Genomic DNA, 20,294 nt, shown 5'->3' with positions numbered 1-20,294 from the left:
CTTTGGGGCCTCACGGGGTGCCTCGCCACCAGCTCTGCCCTCTAGAGACTCCATTCTTTCGACTTATCCCGTAGCCTATGTCCCCAGCCACCTGTGCCCCTCTCTTGCCTCCCATGGCGTGCACTATCTTGTTTCTTTTCCTTTCTCTCCATCTCACTTGGTCTCGTTTTCGTGGGTGAACACCATGGGCTGGTTCTCAGCATCTGTGGCCCCTCCCCGTGTCCTTTCTCCATCTGTTCCCATGACTGTGCCTGACATCACATGTGCCCATCACCCAGGCCTCTCTCTGCAGCTCCCAACTGGCGCATCTGTGGTGAATCACCACAGTCCCCTCGAAATCCCCCTCACCCCTACATAGCTTGTCCATCCACGGTGGGACAGCTCTGCTGGTCCCACAGTAAAGATTTCAGTGGTGGAAACCCCCCACCCTGTTTGTCTCCCATATTCAGGCCCAGTGTTTCCTCACAGAGTGTATTAGTCAGGGTTCTGTAGAGGGACAGGACTAATAGGATAGATGTATATGTGAAAGGGAGTTTATTAAGGAGAATTGACTCACACCATCACAAGGTAAAGTCCCACTATAGGCCATCTGCAAGTTGAGGAGCAAGGAAGCCAGTGGTGGATCAGTCTGAGTCCCAAAACCTCAAAATTAGGGAAGACTACAGTGCAGCCTTCAGTCTGTGAGCGAAGGCCCGAGAGCCCCTGGCAAACCACTGGTGTAAGTCTTAGATTCCAAAGACTGAAGAACTTGGAGTCTGATGATCGAGGGTAGGAGGCATCTAGTACAGGAGAAAGATGAAGACCAGAAGACTCAGCAAGTCTGCTCTTCCATCTTCTCCTGCCTGCTTTATTCTAGCTTCACTGGCAGCTGATGAGATGGTGCCCACCCAGATTGAGGGTGGGTCTGCCTCTCCCAGTTCACCGAGTTGAATGTTAACCTCCTTCGGCAGCACCCTCACAGACACACCCAGGAACAATACTTTGCATCCTTCAATCCAGTAAAGTTGACAGTCAGTATTAATCATCACACAGAGTATTATTGACCATAAACTCAAACCGACCTCCTTCCTTGATCATCACGTGGACCTTACCGCCTATCTTCCCCATGGCCTGTGACCCCTGTCTGGAGGCCGCCCCGCCTTCCAAACCTCCTGCACATCAACTCTAGTGAGTGCAGTTTGCCTGGCATCACAGTGCAAGTCACATATTTTAAACCCATTGAAAGCCTTTCCCTTTCTGTGAGATAAGATACCAATGACTCTTCAAAGATTTCCATATCCAAACCTTGTGTATCTTATTTTAAGCTTTAAAAAACTGGTTGGATACTATTACAATAAGTTCTAAAAGCCATTCTCTTTCAGAGGTCTTGGCCTCTGACCAGGCTTGGATTTGCTTGGCTCAGGACTGACTGATGAGGGAACCCCATTCCTTTATTGGTAATACATTGAAGGGAGTTTTCCTCCAAGTAGTTTTATGTGTACCCATCCTTATTCTTTTATATCTTTCTGCCTGTCTTCCTTGACTGGTAGATCATGTAAGGACAGAATGACTTCCTTAAGATCATTTAACATTAGACTGGATTCTCTCCTTAGAAACATGAAATGTGTTTGTTTGACTCACATCACTGAGGGGCTGAGATTCCTAAGGTTACTAATGCATAAAAATATGTGTCTGCCTGTCAGTGGCAAAATAGAACCAGCTGTGACTGCAGCACCTTTTGAAATTTCAGAGAGGAAAAAGGGCTTCCAATCACAAGCATATCTGGGGATTGAAGTCCCAGTGGACAGCCGCAGTCTGTGCGGGTGGAGGATACAACCGCTTCCCTGGGCAGCTTTGCTGTCGTTGAACTTGGCTTTTTGGGAATTATGAAATAGCATCATAGAGCTTTAGGGTACAAAATTGCATTCAAAGTTTATTCGTTTTGGCTGGGCACGGTGGCTCATGCCTGTAATCCCAACACTTTGGGAGGCCGAGGCAGGCAGATCACTTGAGGTCAGGAGTTCGAGACCAGCGTGGCCAGCATGACGAAACCCAGTCTCTACTAAAATACAAAACATTAGCCGGACGTGGTGGTATGTGCCTGTAATCCCAGCTACTCAGGAGGCTGAAACATGAAAATCGCTTGAACTTGGGAGGTAGAGGTTGCAGTGAGCTGAGATCCTGCCATCACACTCCAGCCTGGATGACAGAATGAGACTCTGTCTCAAAAAAAAACAAAAAAAAATTATTCATTTCAACTTCTTTGTTTATTTGGGTGAGAAAACCAAGACCAAGAACTTTGGCTTAGGTCACAGAACCAGTTAATTTCAAGACTAATGTTAGAATCCCAGACCCAGTTTCCAGATCTCCTTCCATTATGTTATTTTGCCTCTTTTATCTTTTTACTTCTTTTGTTTCTTTGCATCTCAGTAAATACTGGATGGAAAGAACTTTGGTGTTCTGAGAACCTTATAGCAGAAAAGCACTATGAAAGTGATAGTTTAGGACAGATCTTTGAAAAATCTGTGTGTTTGGGCTGGGCGCAGTGGCTCACGCCTGTAATCCCAGCACTTTGGGAGGCCGAGGCGGGCGGATCACGAGGTCAGGAGATCGAGACCATCCTGGCTAACACAGTGAAGCTCCGTCTCTACTAAAAATACAAAAAATTAGCTGGGCATCGTGGCAGGCGCCTGTAGTCCCAGCTACTGGGGAGGCTGAGGCAGGAGAATGGCGTGAACCCGGGAGGCAGAGCTTGCAGTGAGCCGAGATTGCGCCACTGCACTCCAGCCTGGGCGACAGAGCGAGACTCCGTCTCAAAAAAGAAAAAAAAAAGAAAATGTGTTTGGACAGACAAGTTTTTTGTTTTGTTTTTTCACGTGACAATTTTTTTAATAAGATATTTGATCTGCTTACTAAAATAACACATTTTATTGTGAAAATTATGAGGGAAATAAATTTTTAAAAACTCAAATTATTTAACATTTTCTACTTTAGAATGACCCTTGTTAAATTTTTGATTTCCTCTGATTCTTTCTTCATGTATACATATGTGCAGTTCTTTAAAAATTTGAATCACCTTCTAGAAACTGTTTCATATCACTTACCAAGACATTTTCAGAATTTTACCGCCACCATTAAATATTCCACACATACAAGTATAATGGTCACACATCAAATAAAGTAAGCTGTATTTAGTTAATCATATATTTTAATATTAAATTCATTTCGATTTTTATATTACTAAAACCCCTATGATGAACGGTCTTGAACACAGAATTGTCCGTGCACTTTTATTCTCTTAGGGTAAATTGTCGGGAATGGAATTGTTAGGTCAATGGCATGAACAGAATAGTTCTGTGCATTTACATTTGTGATAGTGTTACCTGAGTTATCTGAGATTTTTACTCTCCTATATTCTCAGAATTTTTGATATCATTTTATCATTTATAGAAGTTTGACACATTAAAAATATACATTTTAAGTATTAGTGAGTTTGAAGTTTGTTCATATGTTTATTGATTGTGTTAATCACCTGTTTAGATCTTTTGCCATTTTAATTGAACTATTTGTCTTCCTTACTGATTCGTAAGAGCTCTTTATATATTAAGAGCTCTTGCCTTTTGCAAGTTTTTTTTTTCCGAAAACCAGTTTGTGTTTACATTTTTTAATGGAATGTTTTGACGCACGTCAATTTTAATGTAACCAAATCTATAAATTATTTCCTTTATAAATTATCTCTTTGCTGTTGTACCTGCATAAGAAAAATCGATACCATTCTGAGATTTGTGGACCTGGTTGCCTGTACTGTGCTGGCTATATTATAATTTTACTCTGTTAACACTTGATCACAATAATTCCAGTTGACTGTAGTGTGAGCCAGCATATGGTTTTAGAACTAGCTATTTACCCACAATCTGAAATACTACTTTTGTCAAATGTTCTGTTTTTATATAGTCTTCTTTTCTGTTTTATTCTATTCCATTCCATTCCATTCTCTTCTATTTCATTCTATTCTATTTTGTTCTGTTGTATTCTGTTCTGTTTCTCTTTTAGCTCTGGTATTACCTATAAAGAATTTTTCTTCCAAACGCTTAGAATCCAAAAGTATATGTTGGGGATTTGATTGGGATTTAAGGGCCCCTGAATTCTCCTTTGACTTCATGCCGCCTTCTTTGGTGCTCACACTGCATCGGAAAGCTTCTTTCTGCTGTGTCCTGCGCCTTTCTCCTGAACTGCTCTTTTGCTCACTGGTGTCTGTCGAGGTTGCATCAGTGGTGAGCTCTGAGGTCTTGAGTGACTAACACGTCTGTTTGTCCTGTTCCTGTGAGAACTGTCTCAGCTTGATGTTGAATTCGAGTTTCAAACATACTTTCCTTCAACCTTTTGTGCTGATGTTTTTGGTCTCCGATGTCTAATGATCCTTTTGTTATTGATTCATAAGGAATATAATTAGGAATATAATTAGGATAGATCGCTGGCATGATCTGTTTCCCCGAAGGCCTGTTCTTTGAGTCACAGTAGACATAGCCAAGAGCCGTTGCCCTGTAGAATGTAAGGGCAGACCGCAGGTGGGCAGGTAGGAGTGCTCTCCTGGAAGTGAAGCGCTGTAGTACAGTTCTGTGCGGTGGCTGCCCTGCCTGCCCTCCCCCGTCCCTTTCTGTGCTTCTGTCCCTCTCATCAATCCGGGCCTGATATAAGGACAGGCGCTGATTCACATTCTGATTTCTTCCCCTCACGTATCAGGCATTACAGCAGAATGGTCACCAACACTGACTCTGGGCTTCTGGGTTCACATTCCAGCTCCTCACTTATTAGTTATAAGAATAACTAGTAAGTTCTCACCTCCTAGTTCCCTTATGTAAAGTGAGATTCACAGATTCTGCCTAGCCCATAGATTGGGTGAATAAGTAGTCCCCTGTAAATCCAGAGGACAGGCCGGGCTTGTCAGCCCCTCACAGCACCACACCGGGGCCCTCTTCCCCGCAGGTGAGTTCCCTGGTTTTAATCTGAGGTGCACCCATCAGAAGCTCTCAGCAGGCCAGGACTCCACATAGAGCAGAGAATTCATTATCCTGTTGATTTCTCCATGACCCTCGCTACTATTTATAATATGTGACTCTCTAGTTCCCTCGAGAAGTCTTTCTCTTTCTGCTGGTATTTGGTGAAGTCACTTTCTCTACAAGCCAGGCCCATCTCTTGCCCACTTTTCAGGACTTCTGAGAACTTTCTGGTTCACTGCTGCGCCCTGGCTGGTGATTATTTTTTAAACAGAACGTCCATCATTTTCTCATTGTCTAAGCTCTGAGTGATTTCTGTATTGCAGATGCTTCTGTCTTCTGCAGGTACAGTGGGCCCAGCCAGTGCCATCAGTGTGGGCCGGCTTGGGTTTGGGGGCTGTTGTCCACAGCCTTCTGTCTTGTGGAACTCAGTGTGTAATACACACAGGCTTGAAGGTGGCCATGGTGGGTACACTGATGAGATTTTAGTAAAAACTAAATGCTGGGTTAGTTTTCTGGGGCTACTGTAAGAAACTACCTCGAACAGGTGGGATTAACCGACAGGAGTTTATGCTCTCACAGTCCTGGAGGGTGGATTTCCGAGACTATACCTGGGCAAGACCAAGCTCTCTCCAACGCCCTGGGAGGATCCTTCCTTGCCCCTTCTGGTTTCTGGTGGCCCCAGGCACTCCTTGGCTGCCTCCATCATCTCAGGGCCGCCTTCTTGGTGTGTGTCTGCTTTCCAGTGGCCTTTTTAGAAGTCATCTTGGATTAGGTGGTCATCCAGTCATCTTGGATTAGGGCCACTCGCCTCCTCTGTGATCTCGTTTTAACTAATCACATTTGCAGTGATCCTGTTTCCAAGTCAAGTCACATGTTTCCAAGTCAAGACATGCAACACGTCTTTTTTCAGGGGTGGGGGGCACACATCAAACCATGCCCATGCCGAGCGCCATTTGGACGGAAGCAGCCACACTGTGACTGGTCTAAAGGCATTCTGCTCATCCCAGAAGGCACTCCAGTGTGGCACTGTTGGTCGCGTTGAATGATGGTAACATCTTTCCGAGGTGCCCCCAGGGCCTCCCGTGGAGGGTGTGTTTGCTGAGTCCTTGCACGCTGGCCTTTTCCATCACCTGCATCTATGAAGAGTGCCTGGGCGACTGTGAAATGCCTGGGCTGCAACCTTTTTGTACCTGATGCTCAGTGAACATTGCTCTCTGGCATCTTCTGGCATTTAATATGTAGAAGAGAATTCTAAAGTCAGACCGAGACAACCTGTTTTTCTGCTTTTGTGATGCTTGTAATTAAATAATGCTCAGATTTGACTCTTCATTGACTGTGACATGGCAGGCAGATCCATTTTACTTGCAAAGGTTTGTGTGGGTTGGTTTTAATCTGTTTTTAAATCCAGCAAGGCCTTACTCTAAGTCGTGTCTTTGATGATCTCTTCCGTTCCCTTATTTATGCTCTTTGCCTGGGGCCATCACTTATCCGTTAGTGTTGATTATACTCACTGCCTCAATGAGGTTTTTTTTTTAATTTTTTAAAATGAGTTTTATTGTGTATGTTTAAGGTATACATGATGCAACGGGAAATGAGTAGAGATAGTAAGAAGGTTACTGCAGGAAAGCCCATTAACATAGACGTGCTTTCAGTTATGCACGTGCGTGTGTGTGTTGTGGGGCAAGAGCAGCAGCAATCAACTCATTCCACACGAATCCCCTGTATAGTACAGTGCAACGACCTGAAGTCCTCAATGAGGATTTCAATTGTGCTGCTGCATGTCTGGATTCTTCTGGGGCAGGCTGATGGCATGGTTCTCACCCTAAGTCATGCTCCTCGCCAGGCTCCATCTTTAGGTGTGCCCAGCCCTGAAATAGGATCTGTCTCCTCCTAAAGCAGAGTCTGACACGGAGTTCACACTGGGAATCTGTGAACTTAATCTTACGTGGATGCTGTATCTGCCAGACCCTAATGACTGATTCTTATCAGCGTTTAGTAGGTTCTTGCTCCTCAAAGCCTACTGATGTAGGAACTAGTAATTTACTGTTCTGATTCTATTTCCCACTATGTCCAAGTTTTAAGCAAAAAGTATAAGCAAAACAACAAAAGAAGCAAAACCAGAAGGCTGCTCTAATCAAATAGATTTAGTCTTTATCATCCCGATGATGCTTGCCAATTCCAGCCCCTGTGTCTTTGCTTGAGCTGTTTTATTTCACCTTGAATGCCCTCTCCACAGCACCGTCTGTATTCCCCCCAGTTCCCTTGCCTCCTCCTCTGAGCACCCCAATCAAGCTGCCCAGGGGCCCTTCTTCCTCTGGCCCTTCCTGTTCTTGTTTTCTGTGTATCTCACTTGCATGCCTGTGGCCTCATTTGTTGGGTTGGTGGGTATGATCTTGTCTCCCGGTAAGATCCCAAGTCTCTCTCCATTCTGTTCATGCCACAGTTTAGTTTATGTTGTATATCAAATCTAGGAGTTAGAAATTTTGAAAATGTTTCCAACAAATCTGATTTGTTTGGGCCAAAGCACTGGGTGAGAGTCTTCTGTAAGACTGATAGACCACGCTCTGTTTTTCATGCAGAGATGCTGGAGACACAGGTGATGTGCGCCCATTTCTACCAACAGTCTCTATTGGAGCTGATAGTAAAAGCTGAAAGTTCAATTTCCCAGTTTCCCTTTAGGCTCTTATTTTCTGCGACTTAATGAGGGTAAAATACCTAAGGGTAGAATGACATTGTTTATGCAGCCTTCCATGAAGCATGACTGATTTCAACTGATTTCAATTCTAAGGGTACAGTCCCTCCTGTCGGGCATAGAAGATACTCTGACCATGGAGGCTGGGTGTCTTTGGCCGATGAATTGAGCTGGGTTATTTTTCAATTCCAGTGTGGATATGTAATGGCAATAATTTAGAACAAGTGCTCACAAAAGTGCATACTTAGTGCTGCAGATTAATACTTCCCATCCTTTTTCTTTCTTTATGTGAAAATGAGCAAAGGAACCCCAGGAGGGGCCCTGGAATGCACCGTGGTTTCCTGTTGAGCTGTTGAGCAGACGCTTTCTCCACACTGGCTGTGAAACATAAATTCACTTTTGGCTTTTGCTGGTGGTAGGAGGAGACTGGCCCCATAGCCATCATTTTTATTTCAATCTGACCACCTGTTTCCAGAAAGCCTGGGGCTCTTTTATAAAAGACTTAAATTTTGAAAGAGTAGTGGCAACCCCAATGTTACTAATTTCAGCTCTGACTCATCAAGGGCTTAGAGCTTCTTCCTCCTTTTCTGCGGGGGCACTCCCTTGCCACCCACCTCCTAGATGCCCTTAACCACCCACTCCTCCTCCCCCCAATTTGGAAGTCAGCCCTGAGAAAGCGACAGTGTTCCTTTTCCATCTACTTGCTGGAACACAGGTAGTCGCACCTGGCCACCTATGCATGGCCTCTGCTGGCCGGGTTGACAGTGAGCACGGAGGGCCATTGGCTGCCGCACCCTGTCTGTCATGTGCGACTGCCCAGCTGGACTCTCTTCGGGCCCTGAGCTTCCGGGAACCCTGTGTCCATCATCAGGGCAGAGTAGCAGCCCCAGGTTACAGGGCAGCAATAAAGCCCACATTCTGGAGTTGAGATCAGACGATCTAGTTCCACCTTTGATTGTTTTTCTGTACAAATAGGAATTATGTACATGCAAGGCTACAAATTAGATGGCAAAATCAGCCAGAGCGAGAGGTTGGGGACAGGCAGAATTTCCCCAGATTCTGGTGTCTCAGCGACGTGCTGCAAGTTCCCAGCGCAGGGTCCCTGTGGAAAGGAGGCAGCAAAGGGATGTCGTGTGCCCAAGAGGAGTCCCCTAAGACCCCCAGTTCAGGTGCATGATGCTCTGTGTGGCTAGGGCCTGTGGAATCCAGTTCAGCCACCCCTCATTTTTTCTGCAGAAAGCCACCCCTGCAGCAACTCGCTGGCCCCACCTGGAAATTATAATTTAGGCCTGTGAGCAGCTGCACACACTCATAGGCTGTTTCTTTGCAGAGATTTGATTCTGCTGTCCACCTGCTGAATGTGAAGCTGACTTTGTGGAGGTCCTTGTTCCTCTTTTTAAACCACACTCAGGGAGCAGTGGAGGGTGAGGGCCCTGGGATGGAGCTGAGCTCCTGCCTTGTTTACTTCAGACCCCAGCACAGTGTGTACATTGGGGAGCAAAACGAAGGTCCCCTGTTTCTTGGAAAGAAGTTCACTTTTAGTTCATGATACGAGAATTCTCTAACCATCACTGGGGTCTCAATTTTCATTCATTTTATGCTGCATATTTTGCATTCAGATGTGATAAGCCAAACAGATAAAAAACAAAATAAATTCACTGTTGTGGCTGGAACCTGAGTGAGTGAGGAGGGCGCAGGGTCTCACTCTCACCTCCTCGGGGTTCTTCCCCACAGGGCAGAGAGCGCACAGTCCCGGAAAGTCCTGCCATGAATGACAGCAGCCAGCAGGAAGTCAGACTCTACCCACTGTGCTAGTGAGGCCAGACGGCTAGTTTCAGCGCCTTCAGCTGTGGCTTTTCAGAGACGTGGGCCCTTCATCTTCTACTTCTGAATCCACTTATATATTTTACATTTTTGTGTGTGTATATATATATATAATATTTATTTTATGCTGGTTTGCTTTTTTTTTTCCAATGGCAGACTTCAAAAAGGGCAGACTCGTTCAAGAAAGATGTTATATCACTGCATGAGATATTCAGGAAGAACTAAAGTGTTATTTTTGAGAACCCACTCTATGCCAGGTACTGTTCTGGGAGTTTTACATGCGTGGGTTCATTTATTTCTCACAACCACTAATCCAGGTAGGACCCCCTCATTCTACATAGGAGGGAACTGAGGCCAAGGACGGGTGAGGAGCTTGTCTGATGCCACACAATTAGAGTGACGGTGATTAGAACTGATTTTGATGGTACATTTCTCTTGTACTTATGAAAAGCAGATACGAATCTCTAGTCTGTGCTTATCTCATCTTTCTTGCCTCCCTCTGTCCCATGCCAGTGTCCAACCAAGCCTTTCTTGGGCCTGTAGGGCTCTGACCCAGGGTCTCTGGACTGTGCACTCTTGTGTTTCAGGAAAATATTTCCCTGAGTTCATAAAAGAAAAATTATTTCTTCCTTATGTGTTAGTCTAATGTCAGGGTTCCTGATGACTGGCCACTTTGCTTCCACATGGGGATTTGGGGGACCCAGGCTTCTTCTTTGTAGCTCCACCAGCCCTAAGGGCCTGCAGTTAGCTGTGGGGGGAAAGAGACTATGAAAGAAGCACCTGCTTCTTTAAGGTACACCATCCAGACACACTCCATTGGCCAGGGCTAGTCACATGACCACACCTGCCTGCAAGGAGGGCTGGGTAATGTAGTCCCCACTGGGAGGCAGCTGAGGGGAGCCCCAGTCTATGGCAGGAGCAGAGATTTCTGAAAGCTGTTGGCTCCCTCTGCCCTGGAGGTAATGCTGAAATTTGACTTTGTGTATAACTGATGTGTGTTACCTTTGTCATGTCTTCAGAATAAACTGTGGTCATTCTTTTTCTTTCCTCCTCTGGTATATATATGGACTAGTTCATGGGCCTTATTAAAAGACTTGTTTGGAGAGGAAGGCGCTCGGTTACATTGGAGAACTGGAGTGGTCTGGAGTTCCACGGTGTAGTGGACCAGAGGCCACCTCTCCTGGGCTTCTCAGTGTCTCGCCGGCGGGGTTCGGCCTGAGCTGGATAGACATAGCCCTTGGCGGATTTAAACAACCTAAACATTAAGCAATACAGCTGCCTCAAACCTTTGGGATTTTCAGAATGACTGACACTGCCGAAGCTGTTCCAAATTTTGAAGAGATGTTTGCTAGTAGATTCACAGAAAATGACAAGGAGTATCAGGAATACCTGAAACGCCCTCCTGAGTCTCCTCCAATTGTTGAGGAATGGAATAGCAGAGCTGGTGGGAACCAAAGAAACAGAGGCAATCGGTTGCAAGACAACAGACAGTTCAGAGGCAGGGACAACAGATGGGGGTGGCCAAGTGACAATCGATCCAATCAGTGGCATGGACGATCCTGGGGTAACAACTACCCGCAACACAGACAAGAACCTTACTATCCCCAGCAATATGGACATTATGGTTACAACCAGCGGCCTCCTTACGGTTACTACTGATAGAAATGTTGGCAGCTTTTAGTAAAAGCATTTACTCTGTTACCATGAGAAAAGTTTGGGTGTCTTCTGTTGGTCATAGTTTTACATCTGATTTTACAGAATGGATTATTGATTTTTTGGAAGTTGAGACTTTAAAAAAAATAGATCTTACTTGCGAAATGCGATGGTTGCTGGGAATACCTGAAACTGTGGATTATATTGCTTGACTTCTACCTCAGAATCTTCTTTGTTTCATGACTTAATAGTGCTTTAAGTTTGGTATATTATTTGACCTCTAGGAATTCTTTGTTTTACACAGAAATAAAAATTTTAAAATAGAAAATGCTTTTACTTTGTAAGGTAAGAGAGTATCCATATGCTTAGATGTGCTCGTTTCTAAAATTCTAGAGGTTGATATAATCAGCTCATGAATGCACAGCTATGCTTTTTGTGATAGATTGTACATAACATCAGCAGTTGAAAGGTAAAACAATTGCTTTTTTTTTTTTTTGCATTTGTTAAGTGACTATGGTACTTTGTGATTCCTTAATCTATAGATGAGTCAGCTCCACACTTGAGTCTCTTTTTAGAGGGAAATCAGTAATAAAGCTGTAAAATAAGGAAAAAAAAAAAAAAAAAAAAAGACTTGTTTGATGTCATGTTTGAGATTTTCTCTTTAACCTTAAAAGATCAGCCTGGACAATTGCACACAATTATAAGTAAATGTGAAAATTAGGTTCTGTAATTAGGATGGCAGTAAACATAGTGGAGAACCATAACTAATCAATACAGACATGTCAGCAATCCTCGATTCCTTAATCTTCAAGAGAAAAAAAGTCATAATGAAGAAGCTAAAGTTGCTGAAGATGTGAGACTGAAAGTCCATCCCAGCGAGGACGGCTTCGTTTCCCAGCCCCGAGTCACTCACTACCTCTTTTTCACGTAGCCAGAGCTGCATCTTTTTTCATGTATTTCAGGGCATTCTGGCTAGAAGGAAAAATGTGTTACTTATGATCTTCTTTTGAAACTCGAGCTTCCTGCACCCCACATCGTTGTAGCAACATCGTCACCACACGTGTGCTCAGCACTCAGAGGTGCAAAGATGACCAAGAAGCTCTCGGGTTTTCTCACACTAGTTGCTACAGCAGAAATCTGCTGTGTGTTTTGAGACATCTTGGGAATGACACACCAATGTGCCACCCCCTCGGGATCTTAAAATAGGTCCAGATTGAATCTTTAGCTAATGTTGTTATTGTAAACCCTGAGTTCCACCAAATGTTTCTGAGTTTCTGGACCAATATTGCATTTCAAATAGATCAATCATGGTCTCTCCATGAGAAATGAATTCTATTGGAACGCTTTCTGAGCTCACAGCTCCTCAACGTATTTACTGAAAACTTGGCATGACAGCGTAGCTCCTTTGTTTCCGTTAAAAATTTCAGTTAAAATTACTATAAAATAAAGTGCAAAAGATCACAATCACAGATAGAAATGACCAGATTGGGGTATACTGAGTTTCCTTAACATCTGGAGAGCTGCTGAGTATCCCCAGAATGCCCAGGCATTTTTCATTTATTAATTGTGATGTCATGACATAACTGGCCTAATAGAGCTATAAAAAGTGTTGTAAGATGTAAATGTTGACATTTAGAGTGTCCCTGTCATCACTGAGTATGGTCATGCTGTTACTACAAATAAGGGATGGAATGTTAATGGACTCAATTGTATCCCTCCATGTTCACATTTGGAAGCTCCAACCCCCAGTGTGATTCTATGTGGAGAAAGGGCCTGTAAGGAAGTAATGAAGGTGAAGTGAGGTCCTAAGCCTGGGGCCCTGATTCGATGGGAGTAGTGTCCTCAGAGGAAGAGGAAGAGAGACCAGAGCTCTTGCTCCACCACGAAAGGGCGCTGCAAGAAGCAGCTGCCTGTGAGCCAGGAATTGGGCCCTCACCAGGACCAAATGGCTGGCACCTTGGTCTTGGACTTCCAGCTTCCAGAACTATGGGAAATAAATGTCTGTTTTGTAAGCCACCCAATCCATAGTACTTTGTTATGGCAGCTCAGGCAGACTAAGAAAGGAGCAAAACACACCAAGGCATTTTAAATTTATTAACCTTGTTTCGTTGCACACCTGGCCTACCAGAGCTATAAAATACATTTTAAGATGCGCCTTTTTGTTGACCCTTAGAGGGTCACTATCACTATGGGGTAAGGTGATGAAATTACTTGAGCTAAAGCAACTGTGTTGACTGTGTTTTGCTCTAACCTATGTTACCATTAGATAGAACCCATGGAAGTAAAATGCTGTAGAAAAACGTGAGAACCAGCCAGTTTGCACATTTCTTCCTGTGGCATAGTACTTCCTTTGGCGTGATGCCTCCTGGACTGAAACAAGCCAAGTGAGATACGTCTTCTGCCATCCAGAGGAGAAAGCCACAGTCTTGTGAGTCTTGTCTCTTTTGGCCATTGGCGCTTTAATAAGCACTCAGGAATTCAGTGGGCTTAGCTTCGGTTTTTAATGACAAACTGTCACGTGAAGACATTTATCAGGAGCGTCTCTCCTTTGTCACCTCTGGACAGTGGGTGGGGAACCCTGGTGTAGACATGACTTCCGCAGTGTTTCAGCACGGCCTGGCCAGAGCTCAGAGAAGGTGCGCAGGATGCTTAAGCTCTCCACCACCAGCTGCTTCTTCCCATTGGTTTTCGCCTCTGTGCTTTGAAGTTGCTCAACAATTTAATCACCAAGACTCACAGGAGGCAAAGTGGAGGGAGCCGTTTCCGCAGATCACAGCGACAGTGCTGTGGTTTGCCCCAAGAAGGCCGTGATCTCTGGTGCAAGTCCTACAGGGTGCAGAGTGCTAGACCCTAGGGTGAGCTGGACATCAGGGCCTTGGATGAGGCAGTGTGCTTTCTAAACAAGCAAGAATTCAGCACTTTTAGCTCACAAGTAGCAATTTGGTTGTTTCTAGGATCTAATTATGTGTAATATGATACCTTGAAAAGTATGCGAATGCGAGTAAAACTTACCAAACTGCTTTGTCTTTATTAGAATTGATATTGAAATAATTATCGTGTATATGCTTCAAGTCTGTTTATCCCAAGTGAATTATGAATAAAAGCAGTCAACGACCAAGTCAAGACAAAGTGAGTGAATTTTAAAGTAGGAGAAAATGTGGAAGGTAAAAAATATAGTGAGTTATTTTTCTTAAATCTTCAAATTATTATCCACATCAAGTTACCAAAAATATTTAAGTTTTAAAACCAACCTATTATACTGCTTTATTCCATAGCTTTTATTATTCAAGAGGTTTTTTTGTGTTTTGTTTTTTCTTCCTCTGCACATTGGATGCATAATAGCAATTCTTACATAAGAACCCCTAAAAGAAGTTCTTTCAAAGCGTTCTGGCTTTTTCAGTCAAGATGGAAATCATATCTAACCTCTTGAATAATGGAAATTTTATTACTGCCCATTTTTTGGCACTTTTTCTGTGGAGAAAATAAATGCCATTTCATTTTCCAAAATAAGATGTATGCATCTATGTTATGAATTTGATAAAAATTCATTGCATACTATAAAACTTGTGATTTATGAAAAATCTCTCAGAGCTCCATGCTACATTTCAGTTGTGGAATGTAATTTGTGATCGTAAAATGGCTGCATATTCATCTCCGCCCAACTAATGAGGTCATGGTGGTGAGCAGCTGTGAACAGTCAGCGTGATGGGTTAGTATATGGTCATTTAACACATGTTCACTCTCCCAAGAAGTTTGGTTTTGTTGAACACATTCATGGTCAAATGAAAAGGCTTTATTTCAAAAAGTGCATGCCACCGGAAGCCAGCTCAACAGTTCAGATCTCCATGGACGGCTCAGCGGCTTTCAGTGGCCACTGTGCTCACCCTCTCTGTGCCCTCCTGCTCACCCCACCTGCCCATGGGCATCTCACCCCATCTCACCTCTCCCTGTGCCCTCCTGCCCAGCCCACCTGCCCAGTGGGCGTCCCACCCCATCTCACCTCTCCCTGGGCCCTCCTGCCCAGCCCACCTGCCCAGTGGGCGTCCCACCCCATCTCATCTCTCCCTGGGCCCTCCTGCCCAGCCCACCTGCCCAGTGGACGTCCCACCCCATCTCACCTCTCCCTGTGCCCTCCTGCCCAGCCCACCTGCCCAGTGGGCGTCCCACCCTATCTCACCCTCTCCCTGTGCCCTCCTGCCCAGCCCACCTGCCCAGTGGGCATTCCACCCCATCCCGCCCTCTCCCCGTGCCCTCCTGCCCAGCCCACCTGCCGAGTGGGCGTCCCACCCCATCTCACCCTCTTCCTGTGCCCTCCTGCCCAGCCCACCTGCCCAGTGGGCATTCCACCCCATCCGGCCCTCTCCCCGTGCCCTCCTGCCCAGCGGGTGTTCCCTCCCCATCTCGCCCAGGGTGGGTCTTCATTTGAAGTGGTGATTTCCAAGGGCTTTCAAATCTAAACTAGTCTGTTTCTGGGTATAATTCTCTGTCATTCAAATAGAAAGTGAATATAAGGAAAATGGACACAGCGAAATACCCACCCACTGCCCCGCATACTCGAAGCCGGCCTCTCGGTGGCCTCAACAGGCTGCCATGCCTGGTCCTTGGGTTTGTGGAAAATGCCGAACCCACCTGAGCACTTGGACATCAAGTCCCTCAGGACAGTGGAGCGTAGGAGAAGGAAGGGCTGAGCGGGGCGTCAGTTCCCTCCCTGAGAAGCAAAGCACTTTGACCTGCGCATCCAGGTGGGTGTAGAGAGGCCTAGGCCCCAGAAGGCGCTGGAGCCCAGGTGCTGTCGGCATTCTCCGCATAGGCCCTGAGGGGAAGGTTTTGTCATGAGAAAGGCTGATGCTGTCAAAAGCAGAGTGGATGTTTGAGTGGATTTTCACATAAAGAATCATAGACAATATGTATGTGCAATATTAAATTCCTCAGCCCTGGCCAGACACAGTGGCTCAAGCCTATAAACCCAGCCCTTTGGGAGGCCGAGGCGGGCAGATCATCTGAGGTCAGGAGTTCGAGACCAGCCTGGCAAAACCCCTATCTACTAAAAATTACAAAAATTAGCTGGGCGTGGTGGTGTGTCTGTAGTCCCAGCTACTTGGGAAGCTGAGGCAGGAGAATCGCTTGAACCTGGGAGGCAGAGGTTGCAGTGAGCCGAGATTGCGCCACTGCATTCCAGCCTGGGCAACAGAATGAGACTTCGTCTCAAAAAAAGAAAAGAAAAGAAAAGAAAAATTCCTCAGCCCTTTTTCTGTTCATTAGAAATCATTCCTGTGGGTTTTGTGTCTTTAACCACTTAAAGATTTAATGTCCTCCCTTTCCTCCGCCCCCTACGCATGAAAATCCAGTCCGTGTCCAATCGGGTCTGGTTCCCCCAGGGACACAAGGCACACTGGGCTCATTGGGACTTCTGGTCTCATCCGTCCTCACTGGGGACCCACTGAGGGGGTCAGGGGTTGGGGGTGGGGTAGACTGAAAATCAGGTCTTTTTGCTTAGTTTGATCACATACAATGACAGGCATGGACTGGGTACAATCCAGAGCAAGCTTGTCCAACCCGTGGCCCAGGGGCTTTGAATGTCGCCCAACACAAATTTGTAAACTTTCTTAAAACATTATGAGGTTTATGCACTCACCTTTCTTTTCTTAAAGCTCATCAGCTATCATGAGTGTTAGCGGATTTTATGTGTGGCCCAAGACAATGCTGCTTCTTCCAGGGTGGCCCAGGGAAGCCAAAAGACTGGACACCTCTGAAGTTTCCTTCAGACCTTTGGATATGCACGGGACTATGGCTGAAGTCAGGGTGTGTTGGCACAGTGGGTTTGAGGCTACGCTCCAGGCTTAGTGGACACCTGTTCTACCTTTGCCGGCCCTCAGGTCCCTGAGAGCCATCGGGTGACTGTGTCACTTGGGCCCTTTCCTCTCCAGCTTTTCACAGTGTGTCCTGTGTGAGTCAGCCTGAGACTGGAAGTTCAGTGGGCACATAAGGGAGGACCTCCCTGATCATTAGAACCAAGGGGCAGGCCCGGGGGCCCAAAGCCCACTGTGATGGGGGCAACAACTCCAGAACCTCCGGGCTGAGTCATAGAAAGACGGCCCTTTAAGCATGTTCAATGCTGAACTTGATGAAGTGCCGTGATTCTAAAGGTCGCAGTTAGGAAGGTGTTGTCACTATGCATTCCCTATTCTTTTTGGCTGGGATAACAGAGGAACTATCCTCAGATTATTTAGTTGTCTTTTTTTTCTTCTCAAAACAGTATGTGAGTTATTTGCATAATCATAAAAGAGGACTATTTAAGAGGTCCATTCTTTAGAGATAAAATTTCAATAATGTGATCTTTAGATCTTAGAAAAAGGAAAATGTAGAAAATGTCAAATCGTGAAATTTAGCGACATTAAATACCACAACACTGGTCTTCTTCTGCCAAAGGAGCGGTTGACACTTTTCACAGGCTGCTTCCTTCTTGTAACATGACACATGGCGTTTCCTAATGGCCTGAATCTTGAATACACCAGTTTCATGGTGACGTAGGATGTTCATCTTCTCCAAAAACAATTTTGTGCTTGGAAACATTTTTTATTTAACATTTTTCTCCAAATTTTGTTTAAATATAACCCACTTGTAACTAGCCAGTGTAACAATGTATCTTTAATAATTGCAGTAGAATTGCCACCACCGAAACCTCTGGAAGCATGACATTCTTGCATACATTTCTTCCTCCCCAGATGGCCTGTGGGCGACAGGCCAGCACCACTCCAGGAAGGGCCCGAGCAGCCAAGAATTCTGTAGCATTCTGTACAGAATGCAGGTCGCACCTGTTGGGCCCATCTCAACCTGGATTTTATTATAACTTCAAATTTTATAATAACATGACATTTTATCATAATGGCACTCAAAAAAAGCTGAATGCAGAAAATAGAATACAACTATAGATTGTTTTCTAAACAGCATAAACGGATACTTGTCTAAGATCACAAACCCCTTTGGCAGATACGGCCAGGCGGTGGCTCGGGGCTGTCTTGACTGACACGCCTTCTCATTCCGGCTTGTTTTTCATGATCCACTGATCCTCCGTTTTCCATGCTGCTCGACATCAGACTTACTGTTTCCTTCTAACCTGGGCCTTCTCACTAAATGTGAAATATAGAATGCAGAGGCTTTTTGGTCTCTCTGAGTGCAGTTGAGTCAAGGTGGGTTTTAAATGCAGAATCTCATAAACTGCGTTTCTAAGCTGTGACGTTCCTGTCCCTCACATATCTCTGCACAGATCCCATCAATATCCTGGGCCAATTGACACTTTTCTCTGTGTAGAAAATGCACGAGGCGCATGGTGGAAGACCTCGGAGCTGAGCCCAGACACTCTGATTGAGTAGGCCTGCTCCAGCACAGTGATCCTGGCACGGTGACTCCTGTGAGCAGCCCTGCTGGTCCAGACACTGCTGTCACCTGAGGATCAGGTTTACAAAACCTCGCTCTCTAGATTGGAGCATGCTGGCCAGGATTAGTTTTTAAGCCATCATTTGTTAAAGAAAGAGCTGTGTTATTGTCATCAGTAGTATCTGTGGGATGCTTGCTTTCTTCTGCATTATTTAACACTGTTAAACTTCACAGCCCTAAGGCCAAAGCACTCATCTCTGCTTTGCAAAAGTGAACAGCAAAGTGCCGGAGGGCTAAGGTGCTTGCCCCTGGTCACCCAGCTCCTACATAATGATGCCCGGACCCAAATCCCACCTGTTCACCTCCAGCATTGAGGCCTCTTAACTGCTCCTACTATCCCACTACTTCCTAGGGCCACCCAATTATAAGCTCAAGGACAGTACATGTAGGTGTGCAGCAGCAGGACAGCCCCCAGTCCAGGGCACAGATGGAGGAGTCTACGGCACGTGGCTTCTGAGGGAAGGAACACGTTGCCCAGCATCTTGAGGGTCAGGAAACCTGGGTTCCAATCCTGTTGTATTAGTCTGTTTTCATGCTCCTGATAAAGACATCCCCAAGACTGGGAAGAAAAAGAGGTTTAATTGGACTTACAGTTCCTCATGGCTGGGGAGGCCTCAGAATCATGGCAGGAGGCAAAAAACATTTCTTATATGGTGGCAGCAAGAGAAAATGAGAAAGAAGCAAAAGCGGAAACCCCTGATAAACCCATCAGATCTCCTGAGACATATTCACTATCATGAGAACAGTATGTGGGAAACTGCCCCCATGATTCAAATTATCTCCCATCAGGTCCCTCTCCCAACACAAGGGAATTATGGCAGTACAATTCAAGATGAGATTTGGATGGAGATGCAGAACCAAACTATATCATTCCGCCCAGGCCCCTCCAAATTTCATGTCCTCACATTTCAAAACCAATCATGCCTTCACAGCAGTCCCCCAAAGTCTTAACTTATTTCAGCATTAACCCAAAAGTCCACAGTTCAAAGTCTCATCTGAGACAAGGCAAGTCCCTTCCATCTATGAGCCTGAAAAATGAAAAGCAAGCTAGTTACTTCCTAGATACAATGGGGGTACAGTTATTGTTCCAAAGGGGAGAAATTGGCCAAAACAAAGGGGTTATAGGGCCCATGCAAGTCCAAAATCCAGTGGGGCAGTCAAACTTTAGAGCTCCAAAATGATCTCCATTGACTCCACATCTCACTTCCGGGTCATGCTGATGCAAGAGGTGGGTTCCCATGGTCTTGGGCAGCTCCACCCCTGTGGCTTTGCAGGGTACAGCCTCCTTCTCAGCTGCTTTCATGGGCTGGTGTTGAGTGTCTGAGGCTTTTCCAGGCACACAGTGCAAGCTGTCGTTGGATCTACCATTCTGGGGTCTGGAGGATGGTGGCCTTCTTCTCACAGCTCCACCAGGCAGTGCCACAGTAAGGACTCTGTGTGGGGGTTCCAACCCCACATTTCCCTTCTGCACTGCCCTGGCAGAGGTTCTCCATGAGGGCCCCGCCCCTGCAGCAAACTTTTGCCTGGGCATCCAGGCGTTTTCCATACATCTTCTGCAATCTAGGTGGTTTCAGAACCCCCAGTTCTTGACTTCTGTGCACTCACAGGCTCAACACCACATGGAAGCTGCCAAGGCTTAGGGCTTCCACCCTCTGAAGCAACAGCCCGAGCTGTACCTTGGCCCCTTTTAGTCACAGCTGGAGTGGCTG

The 20,294-nt window shown here is 45.5% G+C and overlaps 2 protein-coding genes across 9 annotated transcripts in view, besides 6 other annotated features; both read left to right on the top strand.

Moving 5' to 3' along the window:
• RPS6KA2 (ribosomal protein S6 kinase A2) overlaps nt 1-20,294 on the top strand; it is a 453,410-nt gene that overhangs the window by 265,499 nt on the left and 167,617 nt on the right. The window lies entirely within an intron of this gene.
• Nucleotides 7,817-8,076: an enhancer, noted in NCBI's record as "active region_25438". NCBI's record gives its function as "activates an Ori minimal core promoter by ATAC-STARR-seq in GM12878 lymphoblastoid cells {active_cell/tissue: GM12878}" and the evidence as "EXISTENCE:reporter gene assay evidence [ECO:0000049][PMID:35858748]".
• Nucleotides 8,657-8,706: an enhancer, noted in NCBI's record as "active region_25437". NCBI's record gives its function as "activates an Ori minimal core promoter by ATAC-STARR-seq in GM12878 lymphoblastoid cells {active_cell/tissue: GM12878}" and the evidence as "EXISTENCE:reporter gene assay evidence [ECO:0000049][PMID:35858748]".
• Nucleotides 10,255-10,394: a silencer, noted in NCBI's record as "silent region_17778". NCBI's record gives its function as "represses an Ori minimal core promoter by ATAC-STARR-seq in GM12878 lymphoblastoid cells {active_cell/tissue: GM12878}" and the evidence as "EXISTENCE:reporter gene assay evidence [ECO:0000049][PMID:35858748]".
• RAMACL (RNA guanine-7 methyltransferase activating subunit like) lies at nt 10,597-14,266 on the top strand. The gene has a single exon (NM_001395999.1). The coding sequence runs from the start codon at nt 10,798-10,800 to the stop codon at nt 11,152-11,154; it is 357 nt and encodes a 118-aa protein (NP_001382928.1). The 5' UTR covers nt 10,597-10,797; the 3' UTR covers nt 11,155-14,266.
• Nucleotides 15,611-16,431: an enhancer, noted in NCBI's record as "H3K4me1 hESC enhancer chr6:166994332-166995152 (GRCh37/hg19 assembly coordinates)". NCBI's record gives its function as "activates a minimal SCP1, AML or CMV promoter by ChIP-STARR-seq in primed H9 embryonic stem cells {active_cell/tissue: H9 hESC(primed)}" and the evidence as "EXISTENCE:reporter gene assay evidence [ECO:0000049][PMID:30033119]".
• Nucleotides 16,512-17,012: an enhancer, noted in NCBI's record as "H3K27ac hESC enhancer chr6:166993751-166994251 (GRCh37/hg19 assembly coordinates)". NCBI's record gives its function as "activates a minimal SCP1, AML or CMV promoter by ChIP-STARR-seq in primed H9 embryonic stem cells {active_cell/tissue: H9 hESC(primed)}" and the evidence as "EXISTENCE:reporter gene assay evidence [ECO:0000049][PMID:30033119]".
• Nucleotides 17,013-17,513: an enhancer, noted in NCBI's record as "H3K27ac hESC enhancer chr6:166993250-166993750 (GRCh37/hg19 assembly coordinates)". NCBI's record gives its function as "activates a minimal SCP1, AML or CMV promoter by ChIP-STARR-seq in primed H9 embryonic stem cells {active_cell/tissue: H9 hESC(primed)}" and the evidence as "EXISTENCE:reporter gene assay evidence [ECO:0000049][PMID:30033119]".

Source organism: Homo sapiens, chromosome 6 (assembly GCF_000001405.40).
Source record: "Homo sapiens chromosome 6, GRCh38.p14 Primary Assembly".
NCBI classification, from domain to species: domain Eukaryota; kingdom Metazoa; phylum Chordata; class Mammalia; order Primates; family Hominidae; genus Homo; species Homo sapiens.
This window is presented reverse-complemented; position numbering and strand designations above follow the sequence as displayed.